Source organism: Homo sapiens, chromosome 13, assembly GCF_000001405.40.
Source record: "Homo sapiens chromosome 13, GRCh38.p14 Primary Assembly".
NCBI lineage: Eukaryota > Metazoa > Chordata > Mammalia > Primates > Hominidae > Homo > Homo sapiens.
Window position 1 is genome coordinate 78,582,749 of NC_000013.11, and position 22,884 is coordinate 78,605,632.

Sequence of the window (22,884 nt, forward strand, 5' to 3'; positions counted from 1 at the left end):
CAGAAGCCTCACTTATGTTTCTCTAATAAGACCCATTCTTAACATCCTTTTCTTTGATGAAAGCATTAATATTCCCTTTCCTTATTGGAAACCAACAGGTATCAGAGTCCCACAAAATAACACTGTATTGTTGATGCACCGATCAAATCATTCTTTTAATCATTAAAAATTATGCAGTTGCAATCAAAAACATTCTCAGAGAGACTTAGAGCAGAGCCTGGCACCAGCAGGGTGTGGTGATATAGTCATTTGTAATTACTGTACCTACTCTGAAGGGTTATAAAATGTGTCAGAAAGTAAAATTTGCTGAGCCCCATTACCAAGAAGCAAAACTTACTAACTGGTGCTTTAAACTTTGCATCTTATAAAGGAATGATTTATTTGACTTTTGACTGGTCCACTTGCAGAAATCATTACATTGCAATATTCAGTGACTGTGCAAAGGGGAAAAAAAGGATAAATCATACAGAGACATTCTCAAGTTAACATCTGGCGAGCATATAAGGCCAAATCTGTAAGGCAAGATCTGCCTACGATGGCATAAATAATGGTGTGTATTTGCAGTTTAGGCCAAGGGATAAGGGCTTTTGATCATAAAAATAGTTCATAACCAATTGCAATGAGATGATGCAATTGTAAAAATTTTGTTTCCACAAACTGTATAAAGACAATTATGATATTTTAAATATTAACCCCTTTTAAATTGTTTTCAAATAAAATTATAACGGCTTTTTGTAAAACCAAATTCTAATTGACCCAATCAAATTTTAAGATAAATTATGAAGGTGAGAATAACACCAGCTTGAAAATATCAGTTTGCCATTTGTCCAGCTACATGCAAAGTCACCAGAATAAAATGGAATTATATGAAAGAGGAGCAATAAACTGCATTATTTACATGTGTTCAATATTATAATCAGAGGTAAAAAGTGTGTTTTTAAATATTTGTACACACAAAGTTTTATTATCTACTTTACATAATACTGTGTTAGACACACTGGGAAATGCAAAGATAGAAAAGATAAACTATCTTCTCCTGAGAAGCCTTTACTATGGTAGAAAAGATAGGAGCACATGTCATTACAATAAGAGGAAATGTGAGATAAGTGACCAAAGAGGATTTTTGTCTTAAAAAATCCTAAGTTTTTATCTAAGAGTTTACAAGTAGATTCTTCTGAGCCAGAACACCATGGAAGGTTTCCTGGCATGATGACATATGAGATTCAAGGAATGGGTATTATGTTCAAAGCTCAAGACTGGGGAGAGAAGATTACATTTTACAGTTTAAAATATTTTATTTACCTTTCCCAACACTTATGCATTTGTATCTTCTGCAGCGAATGATAAAATTTCTTTTGTTTTCAGAAGTGTCAAGATAATTTTTTATTAAAATAAACAAATAAATTCGAGAAGACTCAGTACTCATTCCAGTTGGCATTTTTGAAAGTCTAAAATACCCATTTTAATGGTTAACGCCAAACATCAAATCCATATAATCCCTGAGCAAGTGTACTTAATCATATTCTAAAAAAAGATATGTCTCCTTTTCAAATAACAGAACAAGTTTATTTCTATTTACGTATATCTGGCTGGAAACAAAAATGATCATAATTTAGAGAAAATGTTTAAAACTCTGAAGCATGAAGTTTTGTGGAGCTTGTATTGTTTCTCTCTCCCTCCCTCCCTCTCTCTCTCTTTCTCCATATATATACATATAATTCTTTCTTCAATATCTGCCTTGGGTTAGAAGTAGAAGTTTGGTGGTAAAGGTGAATCCCATCAAAAGACCCGTAGTAATACAGGAATTCAAATATTATTTGTTGAAAGTAGAAAATAAAAAATATAAATTAATAGAGCTTACTGAATTCATCTAATTCATACACACTTCTAATATGCTTATGGTAATTTCAATTATCATCTTAAAAGAACCCACCTTGCAGTACCAGATAATATTGGGAAATCAACAAACTAAAATAGTCTTAGGAATAGTGAATGTATATTCCTGTTTGCAAGCATATAAAGGATAAATACAGACACCTTGACAAAATATGAAGAGTTCAGGAAACAGAAATGATCTTATACAAACTAATGTCTAACCTGGGTCCTATTCTGAGCCTCTCAAATGTGTCTTGCTAATATAAGAACATGCATTGGCTCTTTTAACTCTGAGAGTAACTGAGAAGCCTCCTTCACAGAACTCTAAGGAGCTTAGAATCACCTTTCTGACCATCTTTTCTGCTTCTATATATCCTCATAAAATATTTACTGTTCTTCTGAATGACCACTCTGATTATCCTTAGACTCCTTTCAGATTCCCTGATGATGTCATGGAAATGTTAAACCCATTATGCTAAGTTAGGACCTCCATCTGCAGTGACCTCTTGGCACCCGCTTCGAGGACAGCATGATATTTTTACATAAAAGTTAGTCTTCATTCAAATCCTCGAGGCCTGATCCTGAAAAAACACTGACAGCTCAATCAACCCTAATAAATACTTAACTAGGTCCATGAAAAATAATAATAATACAGTTTCCAAAAAAATCCATTACACATTTACAATTGAGTCATAAAAATGTCTATTAAATGTACAATTATTTTACCACATTTTTATTGGAAAATAACATTTATCCTAATTTACAGGTTTAACCCAAAGGTGGTACATGACATTCCTTTTCATTAAGCTATTGGAGGAGTGATGAGTGACGGTGCCCAGCTCTAATTATCTTTAACATAGTGTTTCAAATTGATCATGCATAATGCAATTACAAATCATAATTAAATTAATTTATATTGATTTAAGATTTTATAAGTTGTTAATTACAGTACAGTATATCTATTTCCACAAGCTAACAATATTTTCAAACTGCCAAAGCATTTCCTTCTTTTCCAATTTCATTCTCAATTAAAAAGTTCACAAATTTATACCTACTTTATGTGGGTAAGGGCTAACTTCAAAACTGTAAAGGCAATGTTGAGTATTTATAGAAGTTTTCTCCAAGAAATGATGTCGTATACATTTGTACATTTAGGATCATCTGAATTTAAAAATACATCTATCTCAGAAACACTTTGACCTGCTCCATCTGCTAACCACTCTGTTTGCCATACCTGCCTTCACAGCTTGCTAGTATTGTCCATGCACATAGTACTAGTTTCTCAATACGTGTTCTGATTGAGTGACTGACTCGGGAAAACCAAAGGAAACCAATGTAAATGCAAAAGTCCTTTCCTGCAACTGATGGTTGCAGAAGAATCTGGAAGCCAAGGGGAAGCCCAAGCGAACGTTGTCCTGGCAAGAAAGCCTGGGGAGTTGGACTTGTCCACATACTTCCCTTCTCTTCTCACCCAATCACATTCGAGAAATAAAATTCCTTCAGAAATCTCTACATCAGAAGGCAAAGTGGACAATCAACGAGTGGATAATCCACACAATCCAAGAACATTTCCTTTCTCTTGTTTCTCTCTAGAACTAAAGGAGAGGTGGAAGAAAGGAGGGGTGTGAGAAAGGGAGCAGGATGGATTGACTCTGAAAGCCCCATCACTGTTTTTGCGACAGAAACAAATATTAGACAAATGTGTCAATTCACTCTGACCGGTTTTTTTCACATACTAAAGAATTATTCCTTCACCTTCTCATACCTGAACTATACATCCAGTCAGATTTGTGGCATGACCCACAGAAACATAACCTGGTCCTTCCACTCTCCACAAGCCTTGGAACTGGGGTTAGGGTTATGTGGATTGTTGCTCTCAGGCGGCTGAGCCTAGAATTGAGGATTCTTCCCGCCCGGCCACGGTGCCTTTCTCTGAATGTGTTAAATGCCTTAAGGTCCTACGAAGGGAAAATGAAAATTTGAAGTAATTAAATTTAGGAGGGCAGGCTTGGAAATGGAAGTGACATGTTTATGAGAAAGGTACAGGAATGGTTATTATAAGGTATAGTTTCCCGGAACCCAGCATCCTCCCTGTAAGGACTGGTCACTAACACTATGGGCGTGCACGCTCTAAGCAAGTAGAGGCAGGAAGTCTGCGAAAAGCCCCAGACAGCCACTGCAGTGCCAAGTGTGCTGCTCACTAGCGACCCCTCTAGGTCTTAGAGAGAAGAGAGCTCATGCAGAAGAGTACTCGGGACCATTGCCGGGACGAGAAGCCCATCAGGCTGACTGCTCCATTAGGGAGCATCGCAAGCTCGGGGTGCGAAAGCTTCCCCGCCGCCAACCAGCCAGCCCTGCCCTGTGTAGACGGGTCGCCAGAGCGCGGCGCAGGGATCGAGCTCCGAGTAGCCCAAACGGGGAGGCTCAGAAATGCACGGGGAGAGCACTCCCCTAATCATAAGACAGGAAAAAAAAAGAAAGAAAGAAAAGAAAGAAAGAAAAGAAAAAGAAAGAAAGAAAGAAAGAAAGAAAGAAAGAAAGAAAGAAAGAAAGAAAGAAAGGAAAGAAGGAAGGAAGGAAGGAAGGAAGGAAGGAAGGAAGGAAGGAAGGAAGGAAAGAAAGAAAGAAAGAAAGAAAAGAAAGAAACTCGAGGTCTCGGGGATCCCAAGCGTGAAATGAATGGGAGAGAAAGGTCTGAGGAAAAACATGCGAACACCGAAACTCAACTGGAACCTGCGCGGGACTTCAAGGAGCAGAAAATCCAGCGCAGAGCTAGGGCGGAGGCAGCGGGGGGTCAGAGACCCTCCCTGTTTATTGATCACCTTTGGCATGAAATATCTTGTATATGGGTTCGGACCATCGCGAAGGTTTCAGACACAAACAAGCTACAGCAACACTTTCTCTACGCATCCCCTAGTTATTGAATAGCACACACACACACGCACACACACACACACAAACGCGCATCCCTGAGCAAGAAGGCAAAAAAGAATCCAAAACTTGAGCAGGTCGCCAGGCCCTTTTCCTCTCTCAGCCAAAGTATGCCCAGTCTACATCCCCGCCCCACCACCCCAGCCACGCGGGCGGGACTGCGTCCATAGGACGCACCTCGCAGATACTGCAGCCTCCCTCCAGTTGTTCCAGCTTCCCGAGGCCCCAGTTGTTTCAGTCCCATCGCCAACTGGCAAAAGCAGTTTTCTAGTCTGCCTTCTGAAGACGTCTCTTTTTATCCAAGTACTTTTGCCATAATATATGGGTAGTGTCTCACTTTCCCCAACTCTACAATGGACTCGAATAGACTGTTTTGTCTTTCGCCAAAGATTTGAGAAAGATTCTTGAGCTGTGGAGAGATTTTTGCACTAAAAAGATTCTTGAAGGAGAAGGAGTAGGAGAGAAGCAATAGAATATTTTCAAGCAATATCCAAACAGGCTTCTAGACTGGAGAATAAAATTAATTCAATAAAATATAACACATTTTTTTCCTTAACTAATAATACTCAGAGATGGTGATATGGATTTCATTAGACTTGAGTTACAGTTTGGTTGTAGACTCAAGACTGCATGAATTCTGTGTGTGCTGTTCCTGGGATTGGGCTGAAGCCTTACCCTCCAGGAATTAGAATATTTTCGGGGCAAGGTTGGAGAATCCATTAATAGAAGAATTATTTTTTTTAAAAAAAACTCTTGTTTTAATAAAGTCTTGCATTTGAGGCTAAATTTTAGTATTTGTCTGAGAAAAGTGGGTGGGTTCGGTTGTGTGTGTGTGTGTGTGTGTGTGTGTGTGTGTGTTTTCCTTTTGGCATTGGTATGTGTGATTTGCAGTCCAGGTTGTTAAGTTTCCAAGCAGGAACCAGTTAAAAATGCATGGATCCTATTATATGTACAATTTAATCACAAGGTATTTAAAATAGACATTTCCATCTAAAATCCAATCTGAAATCAACACAGTTCCTCCAGGCATTAGACGTTCATCTCGATTTTGCATTTGTAAACTGGGAGAAATAAATGTGACTTGTGGATACCAAGAGGTCAAGTACGGCTGCTCAAATATTTTTCTTACAAAATGACGGATTTATTAGACAAATAAGTAGCCCGGCTGATGCAAAACCCCCAGTGATTGAATTTTGACGTTAAGTCAACAACAACTCGAACTACATCAGTGGTTCAAGATTTAGTTATGATGGTAGAGATTACTGAACAAATAAGAGCCAGAAATGAATACAGATTTCTGAGGATCTGCCCCTGGCACCCTCTTCTTGACATTCTCCTCCATATGCTCCCCCTATTCATACTGTATTATAATTAAAGGACTTAGCTATGCCTTGCGATTGGAAAGGAACTTTAAAATAATTAGGCATATTTTCCTGTTTTTTTTTTTTTTTTTTTTTTTTTTTAAAGAGCAGGCTCAAGGAGAAAACCAGTTGAGTTTCATAATAAATTCCTTCTTGGCCTGAAAGTCACCCACCATTAGAAGGGAGGTAGCATTCAGTGGGTGTTTTTCTTTCTCTCTCCCTTTTTCAGGTTTTATTTTCATTAAGAATTTTGATAACCTGCTCTTTCTCTACCCCAGCCCCCACCATGCCCCCATGCCTCTTCCTCACTTTCCTATGAAACATCACTTTCTAAAATATTTGAGGACTTAGGCTTTATTTAGTATCCCACAGAAGATCAGAATCCACTGCTAAATAATTAAATCGCCGGTAGATTTTTAGGAGTATTTAGGTTTCACCTCTCCTGGGTCAATAGCTGCTCTCCCGCCCGCTCTCCCCTTGACCCTCCCTGGAGCTGGCCGCGGTGCTGAAAACCTTGCGTGACTCTTGTGAAAAGGGAGGGCACCACTAATGGAGGATTTGGAGGAGTTACTTATCTTTGCTCTTCATGAAAGGAAGCTTAAATAATTGAGACTACATTTAAACATAAAGCAGTTCATTTCTCATCTTTTCATGGAGAAAGGGACTGATCTGCTCCTAGTGTGAAAATCTGCCTTTTATTTATTCTATGTGTAACTTCCTTATTGTAGTGGAATAGTGACTCAATTTTCATTTGACTCTTGTGGAGCCAGCCAAGAATCCATTCCTTACACCTTCTTCTCTTATTCTGTGATTTTTCAGTTATAGTTTGGTTCCCTCTAGTTCATGGAACTGCTTATTTTGCAGGGACAAATCTATATTTCATTTTAAGAATTCATCTGATCAAGGGCTTGAAACAATTTCTCTTTGCAGATAGAAATTTGTTCTTTGGGTATCCAGGCACAAACCGCTAGAGGCAATAAAGTGGTGCCAGATTTTTATCCTAGATTTTATTTAAATACAATAATAATCCCACTCTGTAAAATAAGTTGTCCATCCAAGCTTCTCTCCCAGTTTGCCATATATCTCTCCCATGTATGCATGTACTGCTAATTTGTACAAATGTTTTACTTGTGCTGGGTTCTAAATCATCTATTGCTTTGGTTGCTCTCCTGATAAATAAACCTGGACATCCAAAATTACTAACCATCTAATAGTAACAGAATTCACTAAGTAGAACGAAATGTTTCATAATTATTTTGCCACTACCCACAATTAAATAATAAATTGTGAAAATGAAGCTCTTCTATTAGGGAGGGGGATGTCGTTCTCTTTTCTTCTTCCTTTTAAAATACTGAGTAGTATCTTCAGTCTAACAATACATCTGTTTACAGTTTGCCTGAACTTGTTTCTGAATTTATATTTCAATATGCTCTTTAGGATGCAAAATTCCTGTCAAATTAAAGAGTGCTCATGTCTTGCCCGCTTCTAGCAAATCACTTGCAGCACCTAATAAATCCAGCTGGGGTTCCTTCCATGGCCTGATGCTGCTGAAATCATTATTGTCCTGCCTTGTTTCATGTCAGAGGCCTCTTCGCCTCATCTGTCATGAAACCAATTTCACTTTATTTACATCCATTTGCTAGTTTAATTACTGTGCTGATGAATAGCCTGAAGGAATTAAGTTATGAGTCTTTGGAAACCCAAAGCGACAGATATATGGGCTACCTTTTAACTACAGGGAAAGAAATGAAGGCTAATGGCATGCACCAAAATTTAAAGATAATAAGTGTTTCTCCCTACCTGCTACTGTTGAAATTCAGGATGATTCTTTCTTCATGTATTCATCATCTCCTGGATGAAATATAGTGCTTTAGAATCTGTCATATTTACAGATTGACTTTTAGAATCTGTCATATTTACAGATTGACTACAGTTCTCTACAACACAATTTTCTATTTTTAAAATCTTTTTTTTTTTTTTTTTTTTTTACTAAAAGAGTCACAGATAATTTACTAGCCAAAAGCAGTGGTGTTTTTAATTAAAAACACCTCTCAATATTAACCTGTCCCTGTAACTGAGCACTTACTTCTATATAAAGACAGACAGGTTCCCTTGTGAAAATAAAGAATATTTAATACCTCCCATCTAATACATAGTACAAAGTACTCCACTTTTATACTGTAAATATTGTAATAGATCGCACTATATAATTTTTGTTTCTTATTGAGTACAATTTCACAGTTATCTTTTTTCAAGTAATCTTGCACTTTCTAACACAATTATCTTCTTTAATGTATTTTTGAATCATAAAAACATTCTGCTGCCTGTCTCTTTTACATATCCAATACAATAGAGCACTATCAGTCTTTGTTAATGACACAGGGCGTATGGGGTGAGTGAATAATCTGTGTTCTCAATATATATAAGTAGTCAACATTTACATATGTATTTTTTAAATCTAAGGTCAATAAACTTTTCAATAATTCTATTATCTTACAAATTAACTACTGCAGTGTAAGCCTACTAATTATGACAATATTAAAAAGTCATTTTCAAGGGTATTCTTTCTTAAATGCTATCAATAATTATAGATTTTTAAACTTAAAAAGTATTCTTGTGGCCCATCATCACTTACTGCCAATTATAACAATAAGTAAATATGCTTGAATTGACTTTTTATTTTATATTTTCTCTATCCTCAGGTAGCATTGCACATGAAAAGAATGTAACTTTTAAATCCAAGAACCTATATGTTTTCCTTTCATTGCTCTGTTTCTGATATAGGTCTGATATTTTAAAATCTGTACTTCCACTTGATTTCTCTAAAAAGAATTAGTTTAAGACACATGACAAATATGGTCATTATTTCAAGAAAGAATTCAAATATTTTTCTTACACACTTAGTATACTTACTCATTCATGCCCTCTCCATGCTGAGTATATAATTACATCTAATATTGTGCAAACTTTCTAAACTAGTTATTTAACTGAAAACAATTTTAAACACTCAAAGGCAAGAGATATTACTAAACAACAAAGAAATGAAAAAGATGGAACTTTTAATGTTTTCTCATTTCTTCTCCTTCTAAAAAAATTAAGTACTATTTTCTATCCTGTATATTTTGCAGTTTCATTTATCAAAAAGCCAGCCTAAAGGAAGAAACAAAAATCTTAACACATTACATTTACTCTCAGAAGAACTAAAAAAAGTGAAAACTCTACTGTCCATGCAAATATATATTAATAATTATATATTCATTACAAATCCCCCAGGCACCTCCCTCCATGACCTTCTTACATCCCCTAAACATACAATTTCCGTATTCTCCTCCCACTACTTTTAATAAAGCACATTTACCAAACAATGTACATAACAAAAATAACTTTTGTGCCATCAGAGTCTTGCCTATAGAAGTTTTGCAATAAAGCAAACCCAAATAAGACCTTTCAGGTAAAATATCCATCTATTTCAGTAGAACCAAATGCTATGCTAATTACTTAGTAGACATTTATGAACAGTCTTTAACTCGACAGCAAAGAAATTTTATTGATGGAGCCTTCTTTAGATATTTTTATTCATTTTTTATTTAAAAAATGAAGACATGTGAGTTTTAAATGCTTTTTCTTTTCCCCTCCTCCTCCCCCATCTCTCTCATTCTCCCCCCTTCTGAAGACCCTCTCTTTCCTCTCCAGCTCTTTTTGATTAATAGATCCATGTGGCTAACGGCCTGACATATGGTGTGCGAAGCAGCTTGAGATAGTACCTTAGGCATCCCCTACGGCCATTAACATATTAGGGGCTTATGTGCAGTCAGACAGTCAGACCTCATCGAGAGCCAGCATTTTCAGAAAGGCTGAACCCCAGAGCTGTTTGATAGAGAGTTTCAATAATGCACCACTCTTCAATTTTAAGGGAGTTGCTTCTGGTGCTGAAACACTGGGACAGAACCAGAATAAAGTTTAGCAATAAGACTCAGTTACATTCAACAGCAACAGTAAAAAATGCGCTTACATCTGTTTGTATATGGATATGCACGTGGAGGCACAGCTTCAAGCTCACAAACATACACCAGCTCCTGAGTATTATCAGTAAACAGGCAATGTCAGCTGCCTGGATTTATTTTGTTTAAAGATTTATTTTGCTTAAAGTCTTCTTTATACCCAGAATACTAGCATTGCAGTAACAGTTCAGTTACTGATAGAGGAGATTTAAAAAGCAAAAACAAAACGCAGCATCATATTTAGAAAGACACTGCTCTGAATCATGTAGTTTGATTTTTTCTCTAGTAGAAGAAATTAGGTGCATTTTTACATCTGTCGTAGCCTCAAAACAAGAAAAACAGGAAGAAAGTAATGAAAATTTAACGTTAAAGAATGTGATCGTGCTTTAAATGCATTTACAGGTCAAATCCATCGAGAGGTAATCAATCTTATTCCGCAAAATCTGAAAGTTTACAAACAAAAAGTCTTGACAACTCTGAAAGGTGGGAAAAAAAACTCTAGGATGGGGTAGGGGTGTGTGTTTGTGTGTGTGTGTGTGCGCGCGCTCGCTCACGTGTGTATTTGTATATGTATTATTTGTATATATACGTATATAAATTTGGGACGAGGGAAATGATATTCAAAATCAAAGCATATATCACACTTTAAGGTTATTTAATTCACTTTAACCTCGTAACTGAAGCTTGAAATTCGCTTTGCCCATGTTCTTCTCCTTCCAGCCTCCTGCTGATAAACCACTGTACCCCTTTTGAACTGTACTCTAGCTGTTTGCTTGGCAAATAAATGCTGTTCCGCCCTATTAAACCTTTTAGGTAGTTTCATCTTCGGATTTCTCAAATACAGGACTAATAAGGAGGTGCTTTGATGCTGTTTTACTTTCAAACTATAGCCCCAAGGCGTTAAAACGTGCAAAAGGTAACTGGAAAAGCAAATTGCCACGAGCAAGGCGCACCCTCCCTTTCAAAACCGTTCCAACCCTCTGAGTGCACTGCGTGGAAGCCGAAAATCTCCCTGTTCCTGTGCAGAACCACGTCCCGTTGGCAGCCCCTGGGGTTCTGAACCGGTGCCACAATACCAGGGGAGTGAGGAGAAAGGAGGCACTTTTAAGTTTAAAAGCCCTGGAATCCCTTGGGAGAAGGGAAAGATGGAGGTAGGGACCGGAAAGCTTTCCAAAGTTGATTCTGGGCAAACAAATATCAGGTGAAGATTAGGAACCGGCAACTTGCTTAAGCAGCCAGTATTAAAACTTTTGCATAAGGCGTGGCAGTGGTGCGCGAGAGAGCCCGCTTCTTGGCTCTAAGGCTGATTTCAAGCCTCCGGTTCAGATTACACTTTGGAAAGAAGACCCCGGCGCGCACTCCCGCGTCGAATACAATGGACTCCCTCTCCCCACAGTCAACACACACACACACACACACACACAATCCCTTAGTTTAATATAAGCAAATGAAACAATTGAAACAAATCTGTTTTATTTAAAACTGGGATGAAAGCGTCTGTCGCTCAAAGGCGTCACAGTCCGTCACATTAAGATAAATTTTCAGAAGAAACGCAAGCCCTCGGGAAATACCTCTGCCCAGAGTCAAATGGATCCTACCTGCTTTTTTAAATGCCTGCATTTCCATTGCTAACTCATACAACACATTTTACGATTGTGCAAAGTGCAGGACAGTTGAGCCCCAATGTCAGCCTCAGAGCTCCTTGTCACATTCAGCTTCTTTTTCTCTCTCTTTCTTTCAACACAACGCTATGGTGAAGTCACATAAGTGATCAAAATTAACATAAATCACTATTAGTTATTAGGATTTGCTCTAAATTACACTGTGAATATCGTACCAGCCCCATCTGCCGCCCCTGCTCTCGCAGCAATAGATTGCAGATAAAATAAATGTCCTTACCCCATTAGAAGGTTCCTGTCTCTGTAGCCAAAAGCCAAACAAAAGCAATAAATACCGGGCTTTTTCTCTCCACTATTCAGCTGTGACTCTTTTCATCAGCTCTTCTTCTAGAAAAGCTCAATAGCTGCCTGAAAATATTGCATTTTATATCACCAAAGGGCGATTAATATTGCATTAACTGTATTTAACATTTTTTAAGCGCGAGTAATCTGCAATGAGTTAGTTTTCTGTTAGTAAGGACAGGGGGTATCAGAACTACTGCAGACCACTTAAGATATCCGTACGATTGTATTATTTGTCTCACACGTAGTTATATATATATATTTAGAGTGTACCGCGATGTTTGAAGTGGAAGAGGCCGTGCTAATGGCCTGCTTAAAGTATTCTGACACTGTCTGGAGACAACCAGGTCTCTGCCTTCATTAAAATGTTTATTGTCAACATTTGGTGGGGGCGGGGAGAAGGAGAAACTGGTTTAAGTGAATTTCCACGGCTGGAAATTGACAACACTTTGTTTTATTCTAATCTATGTCTACAAAAGTTTGTATATATTATACTGCACTGAGGCCAGGCGTAAGAGTTATCAAACAAACTTTTGTTTGTAATTCCTTTTACCTGATCAATGCGAGGAGTCTCTTCCTCCACCACTCCTTTTGACAACTTTCCTTCCACGCTTTTTTTTTTCCTCAATCGGAAAGCAGCTGTCTTTCGCCAATGGGGAGGGGACTGGGACACGGGCGCTTCTTCTCTCCAGCCCTTGGTTCGCCGGAGCAGGATGCTGGTCTCAACACTAGGGCTATGTCGGCTTCTCACCGAACCGAGATTTTCAATTTCAGCTTTGCGATTCAGGATTCCACTTGAATTCCCCAGGACGAAAGCCTAGCGGCCAGGCTGCATTTCGCCCCGGGTATAAATCCCTGCCGGATAAATTCAAATCTGTAGCAGGGTTTTGGTAATATGCATCTTAGCAACAAAACAAAAACCAACCTCGTATGCCTTCCAGTTCTTTTTAAAACGTGTACGGCAGTTGTGAAAGTTTTGTGGTGCTTGAGACTGTTGACTTATGCAACTGGGGAGAGGGTTTTTTTAACCGCTTTGAGATATTGGTCCATCCCTTTTCTCTCAGAACGTCCTCAAGGGCACGTAAGAGTTGGAGGTGACCTCCGGGAGCGCCTAATTTTGAGCCGCGGAACTTCGGCCCACTTCTCCGAGGGGACCAGGCGCGCGCCAATACGCATGTGCGGGCTCTGAGCGCTCAGAGCGCGCCTCTTCCTTCCCGGCTCCCCGCGGTGCGCACCCGCTGGCCACTCTGCGCACGCGCGCCGGGTGCCCCGGCCTAAGGCCGTTGACCTCGGGTTCTCCCCGGCACAGTCGAATCCACGCCAGGGCCCTCAGGCCGGTAGCTGTCCTGCAGTCCGAGCGGAGCTGCGACCTCGGGCAGCTGGAAGCCTGTGGGCTGCTGCTTCTCCAGGCAGGCGGCGGAGGGATGCAGGCAGGATGAGCGGCGGTCCCTTCGCCGCCACCCGGAGAACCGCGGCTGGTGCCCTTGAAGGCCCTGGGATGCCTGGGTTGGGTGGGTGAGTGAACGAGAACCCTGAGTGAGTGAGGGGAGGGCGGGTCCCCTCCTGGCTTCAAATTCAACCCAATCAGCTCTGCCGATGGTTTGAAACTGCACACGCCGACCCACCCGCCCCGAAGTCTGAAAGTTATGCCCTGGAGACCTGCGAGCTGCGGAGTGCAGCTGGAGAGGGAGCTGCCCCACGAGGAGGCCTCCAGAATAACTCCCGGAGTCGGAACAGCGCTGGGCTGCTGAAGTTTGCAGCCTCCGGATCCGCGCCCCGCCCTGCAGATCCACCGGATTTCGGGGAGGGAATCGGGGGGCTGCCCGTCCTCCCGTAAAGCTGACTTGACAACAATTACGAAAGTTTTTAATTAGCTCCTTGTTATAATTCATTTTATTTCCAGAACTCTCCGACCATAAATTATTCAAAGAGTAAGCCAACCCGAGCGGGGCGGCCGCGCGCCTTCCCCACGCGCGCCGGGCTGGCTCTGGCCGCTCAGCTCACCCGATGCCCCGTGAGCCAGCCCCGCGCCAGAAGCCGCGGTGGCAGGAAGGTTTGATCAAACATTAAATAACGTAATGTTTGCGACAAGGCTTATCTCACAAGTGGAAAAGAGGACCTCGCGAGAATTAGAATTCGGCTGCTATTTTAAAAAATCAATTAAGCTTGCGGTCTTTTTTGAAACAGCTCGAAAGGACTGCGTGGCTATCATCGTGGCGCTAAGACTGAGATGGCAATAACACCGATGGCAGAACTGTACCAGTATTAATTGTCATCACCTTTATCATCCCGCTGGCCACCAAGGCCGTTCGAATGGGGTGGGAAAGGCTAGTTTTAGCCAGGATCAGAAGCCCCAGTTCCAACTTCACGGACGAAAAACTGCGAAAGCCTATCAACTTGAAAGATGAGTAGGGATACTTCACGCAGGTGCCAGGTGCTATCAGGAGAGGCCGGGGCGGCGGGGCAGAGGCAGAGGGCAGGGATCGCTGAGTGAGTCCTGCGGGCTTGGGGCGCCCTGTTCTCTCACGTGCGCTGCCACGTGTAGGAGGAACTGGACCGAAGTAGTCTCAGTATCACAAGAAAACAAAAATCGATACAATCACGGCAGTGGGTGCCTACAGTTTATTTATGAAACTGTAATCGAAGTTGAGAGCAATTTCAGAACACGCATTAAACAAAAATTATTCAGAAGTTAGTTGATGGGTCTTGAGGACATAATTTTTTTAGACCTACAGAAGGAACACGACCTGGAGCTAGAACTGGGGAAAAGAGGAAATTTAAGACAAATGGATGGCATAAATGTGGCAGATGCTTTAATGCTTATTTGTCTTTTGCTTTTCCTATTCCACCCCCGCCGCCGCCTGGATTTCCTGAGAAGCTGAAATGCAAACGGAGCCCAATTTTCCCACTCTCTCAAACTTATTTTGAGATTATTCTTTAAAAGAATCCGAGACACACATTTTATCATATTCACCCCAAAACTGGTGGAGGAATCCGCTTAGAGTGAACTTCTCTTCAGAACTAGAAAACTTTGAAAGGCCAAACTATCACTCATTGACACCCACTTCAATGATAGTTTGGCCTCTTCAGGAGGTCCCTTTTTGTTTTTTTTTCATGGATTGACAGTTAAAGGCGTCTTAGAATAGTCTTACTACTCCTTCAAGCCATATATAGATTCGCTTACCAGAAAGCAAAGCATTTTTTTTTGTTTTGCACAGTTTCCTACTACATAAAATAGGAAATTCATTTTCATGATGTTTTATTAACATAATACTCTTATTTTTATGTGGTAAAGGTTTTATTTAAAGCAAATTCTTAAATTCTTAATACCTACATTGATCATTATTATATAATACACATGTGTTTGCCTGCAACATTTCTGCTTGAGGCAGACTTTAAAAAAAACCCTTTGTAAATCTTTTCATTTGTTCTGTCCTGTTTTTCCAACAATGAAATCCAGTCATACTTTTCTATAAAATAACGGTTTTTTTACAAATGCATTTTATTTAAAACTGATGATGTTTCAAGTCAATAACAGCAAAAACAAATCAACTTTTTATGGAAGAGTTCTATGTTTAAAAATACCTCTAGTGCTTTTTTTTTTTAACATTAACAACTGTTTAAAATCGCAGCTTTTAAAATGTACTATTCTTTTTGAACATCAAGTGTTTTCCTTCACAGATTTGCCGGTGAAATTAAAAAGATTTGGCTAAAATAAGATGACTTCAGATGATATAATCTCAACTCTTAAGAAACTTTGTACATTTGGCATCTGATCTAGTCCCAAGTCACCAAGAAATAGAGGCTCTCTAGTCACTGTGGAGCAGTAGGTGGCACACTAAATGTTTTAAAATGTATTACCCTCCAAAGAAAAGCCATTCAGTTACTAGGTGTTTTTAGGGTAGAATATCACATCTAAACCTCCAAATTCCTCTGTCCCTGACCCTAAATTTAAATGTTTTTTGGGTGCCTGGTTATTTATTGGTTTTCACCACTCTGGATCAAGTGCTGTGGTTTAAGAGTTTCTGCAGTTAAAAAATAATAACTTTTATAAACACAGGCAACTAATATAGAATTCATTTTATTTAGAGCACCACTTTTCATGAGTTATCTGAAAGTGAATTCTGATTCAGCAAAAAAATACATCATTCTCAATCTCTCCCCTTTTTGTCCCCCTTCAACACCCTACCCTCCCCCCATTTCTTTGTGTTTTCTTTTTGTTTGGTTGTTTGTTGAAAGGTTCTACCAGGACCTGGCCCAGTATAAACACAAAAACGCACCCAAATCATAAAACTGCTCTTCTTTCAGTTATGTTTTATTTGTAAGTGTACTGGGACACATCCCCCTGTTGTATTTTGGCGCATAGAATTGGTTCTGATAGAAGTAAGGGAGGAGAAAGGTAAAAGAGAAAAAACATAACCAAGGAGAAAGCTCAGCAGACATACATGGACAGGTAGATCAATCCGTGAGACATTTCAGGATGAACACTGGCAGTCTGTTACCACTGTGTGAATGTGTGCATTAAATAAAATATTTACAATAATCTTTTTTCCTTTTTCTTTGAATACAAGAATATGACAAAAATGTTTTCAGTGGAAACAGGCAGTAGACTGTGAAATCGCACTAGCCACAAAACGGTCTACCAGAAAGCTAGCCCAGTTTAGTGCTCAGTTTCAAATGCATAGAATGTTTGCCCTGCAAACAATGATATACAACATAATTAAATAAATAATGCCTAACCAGAGTGAGACCTAATTGTGTTTCTTTCCACACCTTTCAGATCATGCATGATTTCAGTCTTGTTAATCGGCAGGTTTTTTTTCTTTTCTCATTTGTTCTGTTTTCAATGTTTTAGTTATGATTAAAGGATGGTAACAAACCATCTCTACGAGAGATCCAAAGAGTATCTTGTACACAAAGCAGGCATTTTACCTAACCACCTTCAACTATCTTAATTTTTTAAAATCCACCAGCAGCTTGTAAGGTACCTGATTATTACTATGAAATACTATACATGATTTTCTATTTGGGAGACTGGTAGTGCAAATTAAAGTTCTTGCTACCCAACATTTATCCCCTGTAATAAATGACTCTTGAATAATAAGAACAAGTAAAAGGAAACACAGTTGTTCTGTTTTCGCCCAACATGCAGACCTCTTTGAAACAAATGGGGGTGGGGGCACTTTAAATCTGTCTTCCTCTTTTCTGGGATTTAGGTGATTTTCTCACAGCCAAGTCCTACCGCAAAAGAAAGCAGGAACTTCTCAACATTTCTATAATTTCATGTCCTCCAAGAGAGGAAGAAACGGGACCTAGAAGAGCAAGATGAGTCTCGTTCAGTGGAGAAAACAGGAGAGAGTATCTCTCCTAATAACTTTCACCCCATTAGTCTATTTGAATCAACAGGAAAAATCAGTAGTTTAAACCTCTCTCTAAAAAAAAGATAAAACTGAAAGGGCAAGTTAAAGTTCTATGAGTGGGAAAAGCTTATTTTGAAATTGTCTAAAACTAGATCTTCGACATAAGAGGAAAAAAAACTGTTGTTAAAATTGTTTCATTTTCCTAGAATAAGATATCTCGAAGCTCCGGAATTCTGCTTTTTAGTAGCTCAAAGACTATGCCCTTCTCTCCAAAGACCCCCACCCCAACAGGACCAGGCCACCAGAGTATAGGCAGGGCCACGGGAAAACTTGGATTCCACCTAAGCAAGCAGCCAGCCTCCCCCTGACCCTCTCTTTTCAGCTGTGCTCCCACTCACTTCCCGGGATTGGAGAGCAGCCATAGGCCTCTCATTGGAACGGAGGAAATAAAGAGGATATGGATGGGGTGGAGGTGAGAGAGGGAAAAATTAAACACGCAGACAGAACAACTAGCTTTGATACCCAGAACTTCAACTTCTCGCTCGTTTGGTTTTCGTTTTTCGACTCAGTTCGTGCGTGTAGGGTTGGGGAGGTGGTAATAATGGTGGTGCTCTTTTTTCTCTTCTATGGGGGAAAATGAAGTTGCAGATTATGGCTCCCCGGAGTTAAAATTTCTAAAGCATTTTCCTTTGCTTTTGTTCTGTTTTGTTTTAGTTTGTCTTTATTTGTCTAGTTTTTGGTGGTTGGTAGGTTTGTTTTTGTACATAGTTCCTTGGTCCCCAGGATATTTAGGTAAGTGTCTCTGGTCAGAAACAGTCCATTTTCCTACCCTTCCCGCGTCTCCCCCCACCCAAACCCCAGAACCATCCTGCTCCTTAAAACCCCTGCTCGGGTCTCCGCTTTCCTTCCCCCCACTCCCCACTCCCCCGAATGCTCCCCCCCTTCTCCCCTACCCTATACTCCAATCCCCACACCCAGCACCCCAGTCCTCAAGGCTAGGGGACAGCAAAGGCAGGAAAATCAGAGAATGGGTGGAGGAAAGAGAGCGAGAAGGGACTCCCCAAATGCAGGCAGGATAACGGACACTCCAAATCCGAGGGGAGGCAAGCAGAGGAAAGCCCCCCAAAAATGCCTCCTCAGCTCCCCATTCTGTCCCGCCCGACACCTCCCAGCCCCCTCAGTAAGTGGCAGAGAATTTCATCCGCTTCTGCTTCTGTCTCTGGTTGCAAAACCACACCCGCACCACGTTCTTTTTGAGGTCCAGTTTCTCGGCGATGGCGGCGATCTTCTCGGACGAGGGCCGGGGCTGCACGGCGAAGTAGGCCTCGAGGGAGCGCTTCTCGGGCGCGGCGATGGAAGTCCGCTTGCGCTTCTTCTCGCCGCCGTTGAAGAGCTCAGGCTTGTTCATTTTCTCGCGCTGGGCGCCCTCGGCCTCCTCGAGCCACGCCTGCAGGATGGGCTTGAGCGCGATCATGTTGTTGTGCGAGAGCGTGAGCGACTCGAACCTGCAGATGGTGCTCTGGCTGAGTGAGCCCACGCCCGGGATCTTGAGGTTGGCCAGCGCCGAGCCCACGTCGGCCTGCGTCACGCCCAGCTTGATGCGCCGCTGCTTGAAGCGCTCCGCGAACGCCTCGAGCTCGCGCGGGTCCGTGTCCGAGTCGCAGATGGACGCCAGGCCCGCTGCGCCCACCACGGCCGCCGCCGCCGATGCCGCTGCCACCTGCCCGGCCGCCGCCGCCGCCGCTGCCGCTGCCGCGCCGTGGTGCGCCGCCGCCGCCACCAGCCCGGGGTGCGGCAGCCCGGACGGCATGTTCATGGCGGCCGCCGCCGCGGGGTGCGACAGGTGGCCCAGGCTGTGCATATGCGGGTGAGGGTGCGCGGAGCCGCCCAGGAGCCCGCCGCCCGGGCCGCCGCCGCCGCCCCCCGGGCCGCCACCGCCGCCTCCCCCGGGGCCGCCGCCCGGGCCGCCGCCGCCGCCCGGGCCGCCACCGCCCCCCGGGCCGTCGTGGGCGCCGCCGCCGCCGGCCGCCGCGCCCGCGCCGCCCGCGCCGGCCATGAGCGCGAGCGACGGCGAGGAGATGTGGTCCAGCAGATCGCCGGGTTCGAGCGCCTGGTGGTGGTGGTGGTGGTGGTGGTGGTGCGCCAGAGGCACCGTGGAAGTGGACGTGCACGGCACGCTGTTCATCGTGTGGTACGTGGCGTCCGGCTTGAAAGGATGGCTCTTGCCCTGGGACACGGCGATGTCCACGGCCGCCAGCGCCTCGGCCCGCGCCAGCAGCGTCTCGTCCAGGCTGGCGAAGAGGTTGCTCTGCAGCTGCAGGCGACACAAACCAAACCAAAAAAACCACAAAACCAAAAGAGCAAAACAAAACAACAGAAGAAACACACACACAGGCCGGAAAGCACAGCATGCGAAGGGCAAACACAAAGCAACCAAAATAACAACGGGTTTGGGGGCAGTGGAGAGCGGGAAAGACGGAGAGGGGGCACATTGACGACCAGGGAGGGGGCAGACGAGAAGGGATGGGAGCGTGGAGAGGGGGACAGAAGTAGGGAGAAAGGGGGACACAAGAACACATTCCGGAAACGGGCGTGGGAGACGAAAAAGAGGGAAAAGAAGAAATGGAAATGTAACTCGCAGCTGGGGACCCGTGTCACACACCCGAGCACGCACAGAGACTGCCTTTCTGAGGCGTGAAATTAACAGAGAAAGTAGAGGGAAGTCGAGAGTCCTGGCCCCAGCGCTCCCTACTCCGATCGCAGGCGCCTGACGCGGAGGCAGAGGCAGACAGGAACACGACATTAAGGGCCGCCGGACAAAACGTGCCTCGCTGCGGGACTGCTCTACACCCCCTGCCCGCAGTTCCCCGCACCGGGACCTGCACACACCAGCCCCCGACATGCAGCGTTTCGGAGACGGGGAGGGGCGGGCGCGCGGGCCGGGGCCGCGGGCGTGGGGCGCTTACCGGCGGCGTGGGCAGGCAGGCCCGCCGGATGGCCTCGGAGCTGGAGTGCAGCGACGGGTACTTGTGCTCAGGGAGGGTGGGATGCATGGCAAAGTGAGGCTGCTTGCTGTTCATGGACATCATCGTGGCGGCTTGGCATGTATATCCACAAACACTCCGAAAGTCCGCGGGAAAGTGCGTACGCCGGCTCACCCGGCCTCCCTTCGGAGGCTGCAGCCGCGGCGGTCGCGGCGGCTGGCGGCGGCCCCGCCGCGGGCTGCTGCTGCTGCTCCTGCTGCTGCCAGGCGCTCCCTCTGACCGCGCAGAGCGCCGCGCGCCGGCCTCGCGGTCCCGCTTCTCCGACAGCTCTAGCCCCGCGCGCCGACGGGATGCACTCCTCTAACACCTGAGCCCCACTTCTCGCGGCCGTCCCGGGGAGCTCTCGCGAGAGCTCGCGGCCCCACCGCGCTGACAGGCATCAGCTGTCTCCGTCTGTCTGACGCGCGCTCTCCTTCTCGGCGGCCCCGTGCGTCTGCGCGCGCGCGCGCTCGTCCGGCCGCGACCAGCGCGTGGGAGCCGCTCTTATAGTGACCACCAGCAAGGACAGCGCAGGTGATGCACCTGTAGCTACCCGGGCATGCGCACTGCCCGCCTCACCTTTCCCACCGTGGTCTGGAAAGATCAGAAGGTCCAGCTATTGTCTAAGGGTGGGCACCTTTTAGAATAAAAAAGACGAGATGCGCGCACGCCCCTCTATGTGTGTGTGTGTGTGTGTGTGTGCGTGCGTGTGTGTGTATGTGTGTATGTTTCTTCTCCCTGATAGCAAGCCTTGAATATATGAGCATTACTTAGGCATTCCTCCTCTTCGGGATGCCTAACAAGCTGTTGTATAATGTATACAGCTGGACATTTCTACGTTAAATTATGCCCGCGCATTCCTCTGTATACAGTATAAATAACAACACAGAAATGCAGAAGGTGCTGTCTTTTGCTGCAAGAACCTGTTTCTTTAAAGGTTTATAAATAGGTTCCTGGAGAATAATCGCGGTGACAGACATTTGTTTGAAGCAGTCAGACGCTATTGATTTCCATATAATTTAATTTCCTCCGCATACTTTTTTGTTGTTGTTGTGAATATAACTGTGTCAGGCACCGCCAGTGACAGCCACTTAGGAGCCACAAGGAGCGTGTGCTTTCTACTCGGGAAAAGCTGTTGAAATGAAATTGTGCATTTCTCTTATTGTTTGTCTCCTTCAACCGTGTACAAACCCACGTTTCAAACGAGCTCCGGGTGATCTAAGGCTTCTAGTAATCAAAAGGAAAAAACAGTTAACAGGGTGTAGTTGGGATCCTTCCTCCCCTCAGCGTACACACACACACACACACACACACACACACACACACACTTTATGCTGGGAACTCCAGGAAAACTGCTTCAGAGAAAAGGGAATAAGATGTTGAAAAGAGAACTTTCTTTTCCCTTCCATCTTTTTGGCTTTTTGCCTCATATCTCTGCCTGCTTATATATATTTTTTTCAATAGGAGACAGATCAAACTAACTTACAGGAAAGCTTGATTCAAAAATATTAAATCAAGCCAATTTGAAAGAACGGGGACAAGCTCTGGTCCAGTTTTTAAATTTTTAAAAAATTATTGTGAAATTAAGACCTAAAAAGAATAAATCAATTAGCCAACCTGTTATATGGCCCTTATGTGGTAGCAGATCAAGAGCCTCCCAGGGGAGCCACAGTTCAGGTGCCAAAGTCCCCAGGGAAGGAGCACTTGCTCGCGGTGATAATAACCTAACAGCCCAGATGTTATCACATCTGCGGTAAGAGAGCTGGAGAGCAGCAAGGGGCTGCTTATGGAAAGCAGAAATCAGATAATCTTTCTGTTCTCTCCCACACCAAGGAAGTCTGTATTTCCACCAAAGAGCAGATCTCATTTCTATAAACCTAAATTTGCGTTCCCGTGGATTTTATCTTTCCTCTGCACAAATGCATGTGTGTTTAGCATACCCACTCACCTACTCAGATTCCAAGAAGAGCCCACAGGCGTCACCATGGCTTTTTCTTTCTTTCTTTTCATGTTCCCCCCCACCCCCTCCCTTCCTTCTAGCTCCAGAGGGAAGTGAGAAGGATGTTCACTTGCTGGTGAGAGAAGGAGCTGGTTCCATCCATTACGCAGTCCCCTGGGAGCGCTAAATGCAACTTTATCTCAACGGGGAGTGGACGATGAGCAGGACGTCGCTAGAGGGAAAGAGTGAGTCCTACGGTAGTCATCACACCGGGAGTCCGGGCTTAACCTAGTCCTTCCTGACACCCCTGGTGGCCGTTCCCTGCGCTCTCTCTTGACGGGAAAGAAAAGGCCCCCACAGAGGGTGAGGGCCTGGAACCTGCCCCTCCCCTCTCAAGGAAGCGCTGGTCTTTAGGGACCCTGAAGGGTACAGG

General features: G+C 43.4%; 1 protein-coding gene and 2 long non-coding RNA genes across 4 annotated transcripts in view, besides 3 other annotated features; 2 read left to right on the forward strand and 1 right to left on the reverse strand.

The window, feature by feature from the left end:
- The window catches only part of OBI1-AS1 (OBI1 antisense RNA 1), a 562,471-nt gene that overhangs the window by 527,894 nt on the left and 11,693 nt on the right, over positions 1-22,884 (forward strand). The window contains exon 4 of the long non-coding RNA NR_047001.1: positions 22,553-22,696. This is a non-coding gene — a long non-coding RNA (OBI1 antisense RNA 1). The remainder of the gene's footprint in view (positions 1-22,552; positions 22,697-22,884) is intronic.
- Positions 13,041-13,769: an enhancer, noted in NCBI's record as "H3K4me1 hESC enhancer chr13:79169924-79170652 (GRCh37/hg19 assembly coordinates)". NCBI's record gives its function as "activates a minimal SCP1, AML or CMV promoter by ChIP-STARR-seq in primed H9 embryonic stem cells {active_cell/tissue: H9 hESC(primed)}" and the evidence as "EXISTENCE:reporter gene assay evidence [ECO:0000049][PMID:30033119]".
- Positions 13,341-13,640: a silencer, noted in NCBI's record as "silent region_5423". NCBI's record gives its function as "represses an Ori minimal core promoter by ATAC-STARR-seq in GM12878 lymphoblastoid cells {active_cell/tissue: GM12878}" and the evidence as "EXISTENCE:reporter gene assay evidence [ECO:0000049][PMID:35858748]".
- LOC780529 (uncharacterized) lies at positions 13,374-16,871 on the forward strand. Its single transcript, NR_158457.1, has one exon. It is a non-coding gene; the product is annotated as an uncharacterized LOC780529 (long non-coding RNA).
- On the reverse strand, positions 15,614-20,804 carry POU4F1 (POU class 4 homeobox 1). 2 transcript variants are annotated; one of them, NM_006237.4, is made up of 2 exons: positions 20,456-20,804; positions 15,614-19,803 (listed from the first exon to the last, which is right to left on the reverse strand). In NM_006237.4, exons 1-2 carry the CDS (start codon positions 20,576-20,578, stop codon positions 18,667-18,669), a joined length of 1,260 nt encoding a protein of 419 aa, NP_006228.3. In that variant the 5' UTR covers positions 20,579-20,804; the 3' UTR covers positions 15,614-18,666. The 2 variants fall into 2 exon arrangements, 1 of the variants encoding a protein (NP_006228.3); XR_007063683.1 differs by lacking the exon at positions 20,456-20,804 and having other exon boundaries at positions 16,424-17,441; positions 18,012-20,406.
- Positions 20,595-20,754: a silencer, noted in NCBI's record as "silent region_5424". NCBI's record gives its function as "represses an Ori minimal core promoter by ATAC-STARR-seq in GM12878 lymphoblastoid cells {active_cell/tissue: GM12878}" and the evidence as "EXISTENCE:reporter gene assay evidence [ECO:0000049][PMID:35858748]".

What these genes read in the sequence shown, in the direction of transcription:
- POU4F1 (NM_006237.4), bottom strand. Translation starts at nt 20,578, where the DNA reads ATGATGTCCATGAACAGCAAGCAGCCTCACTTTGCCATGCATCCCACC. An exon ending in CCTGCCTGCCCACGCCGCCG is followed by an intron (nt 19,804 to 20,455) that starts GTAAGCGCCCCA and finishes TGTCGCCTGCAG; the next exon opens with CTGCAGAGCAACCTCTTCGC.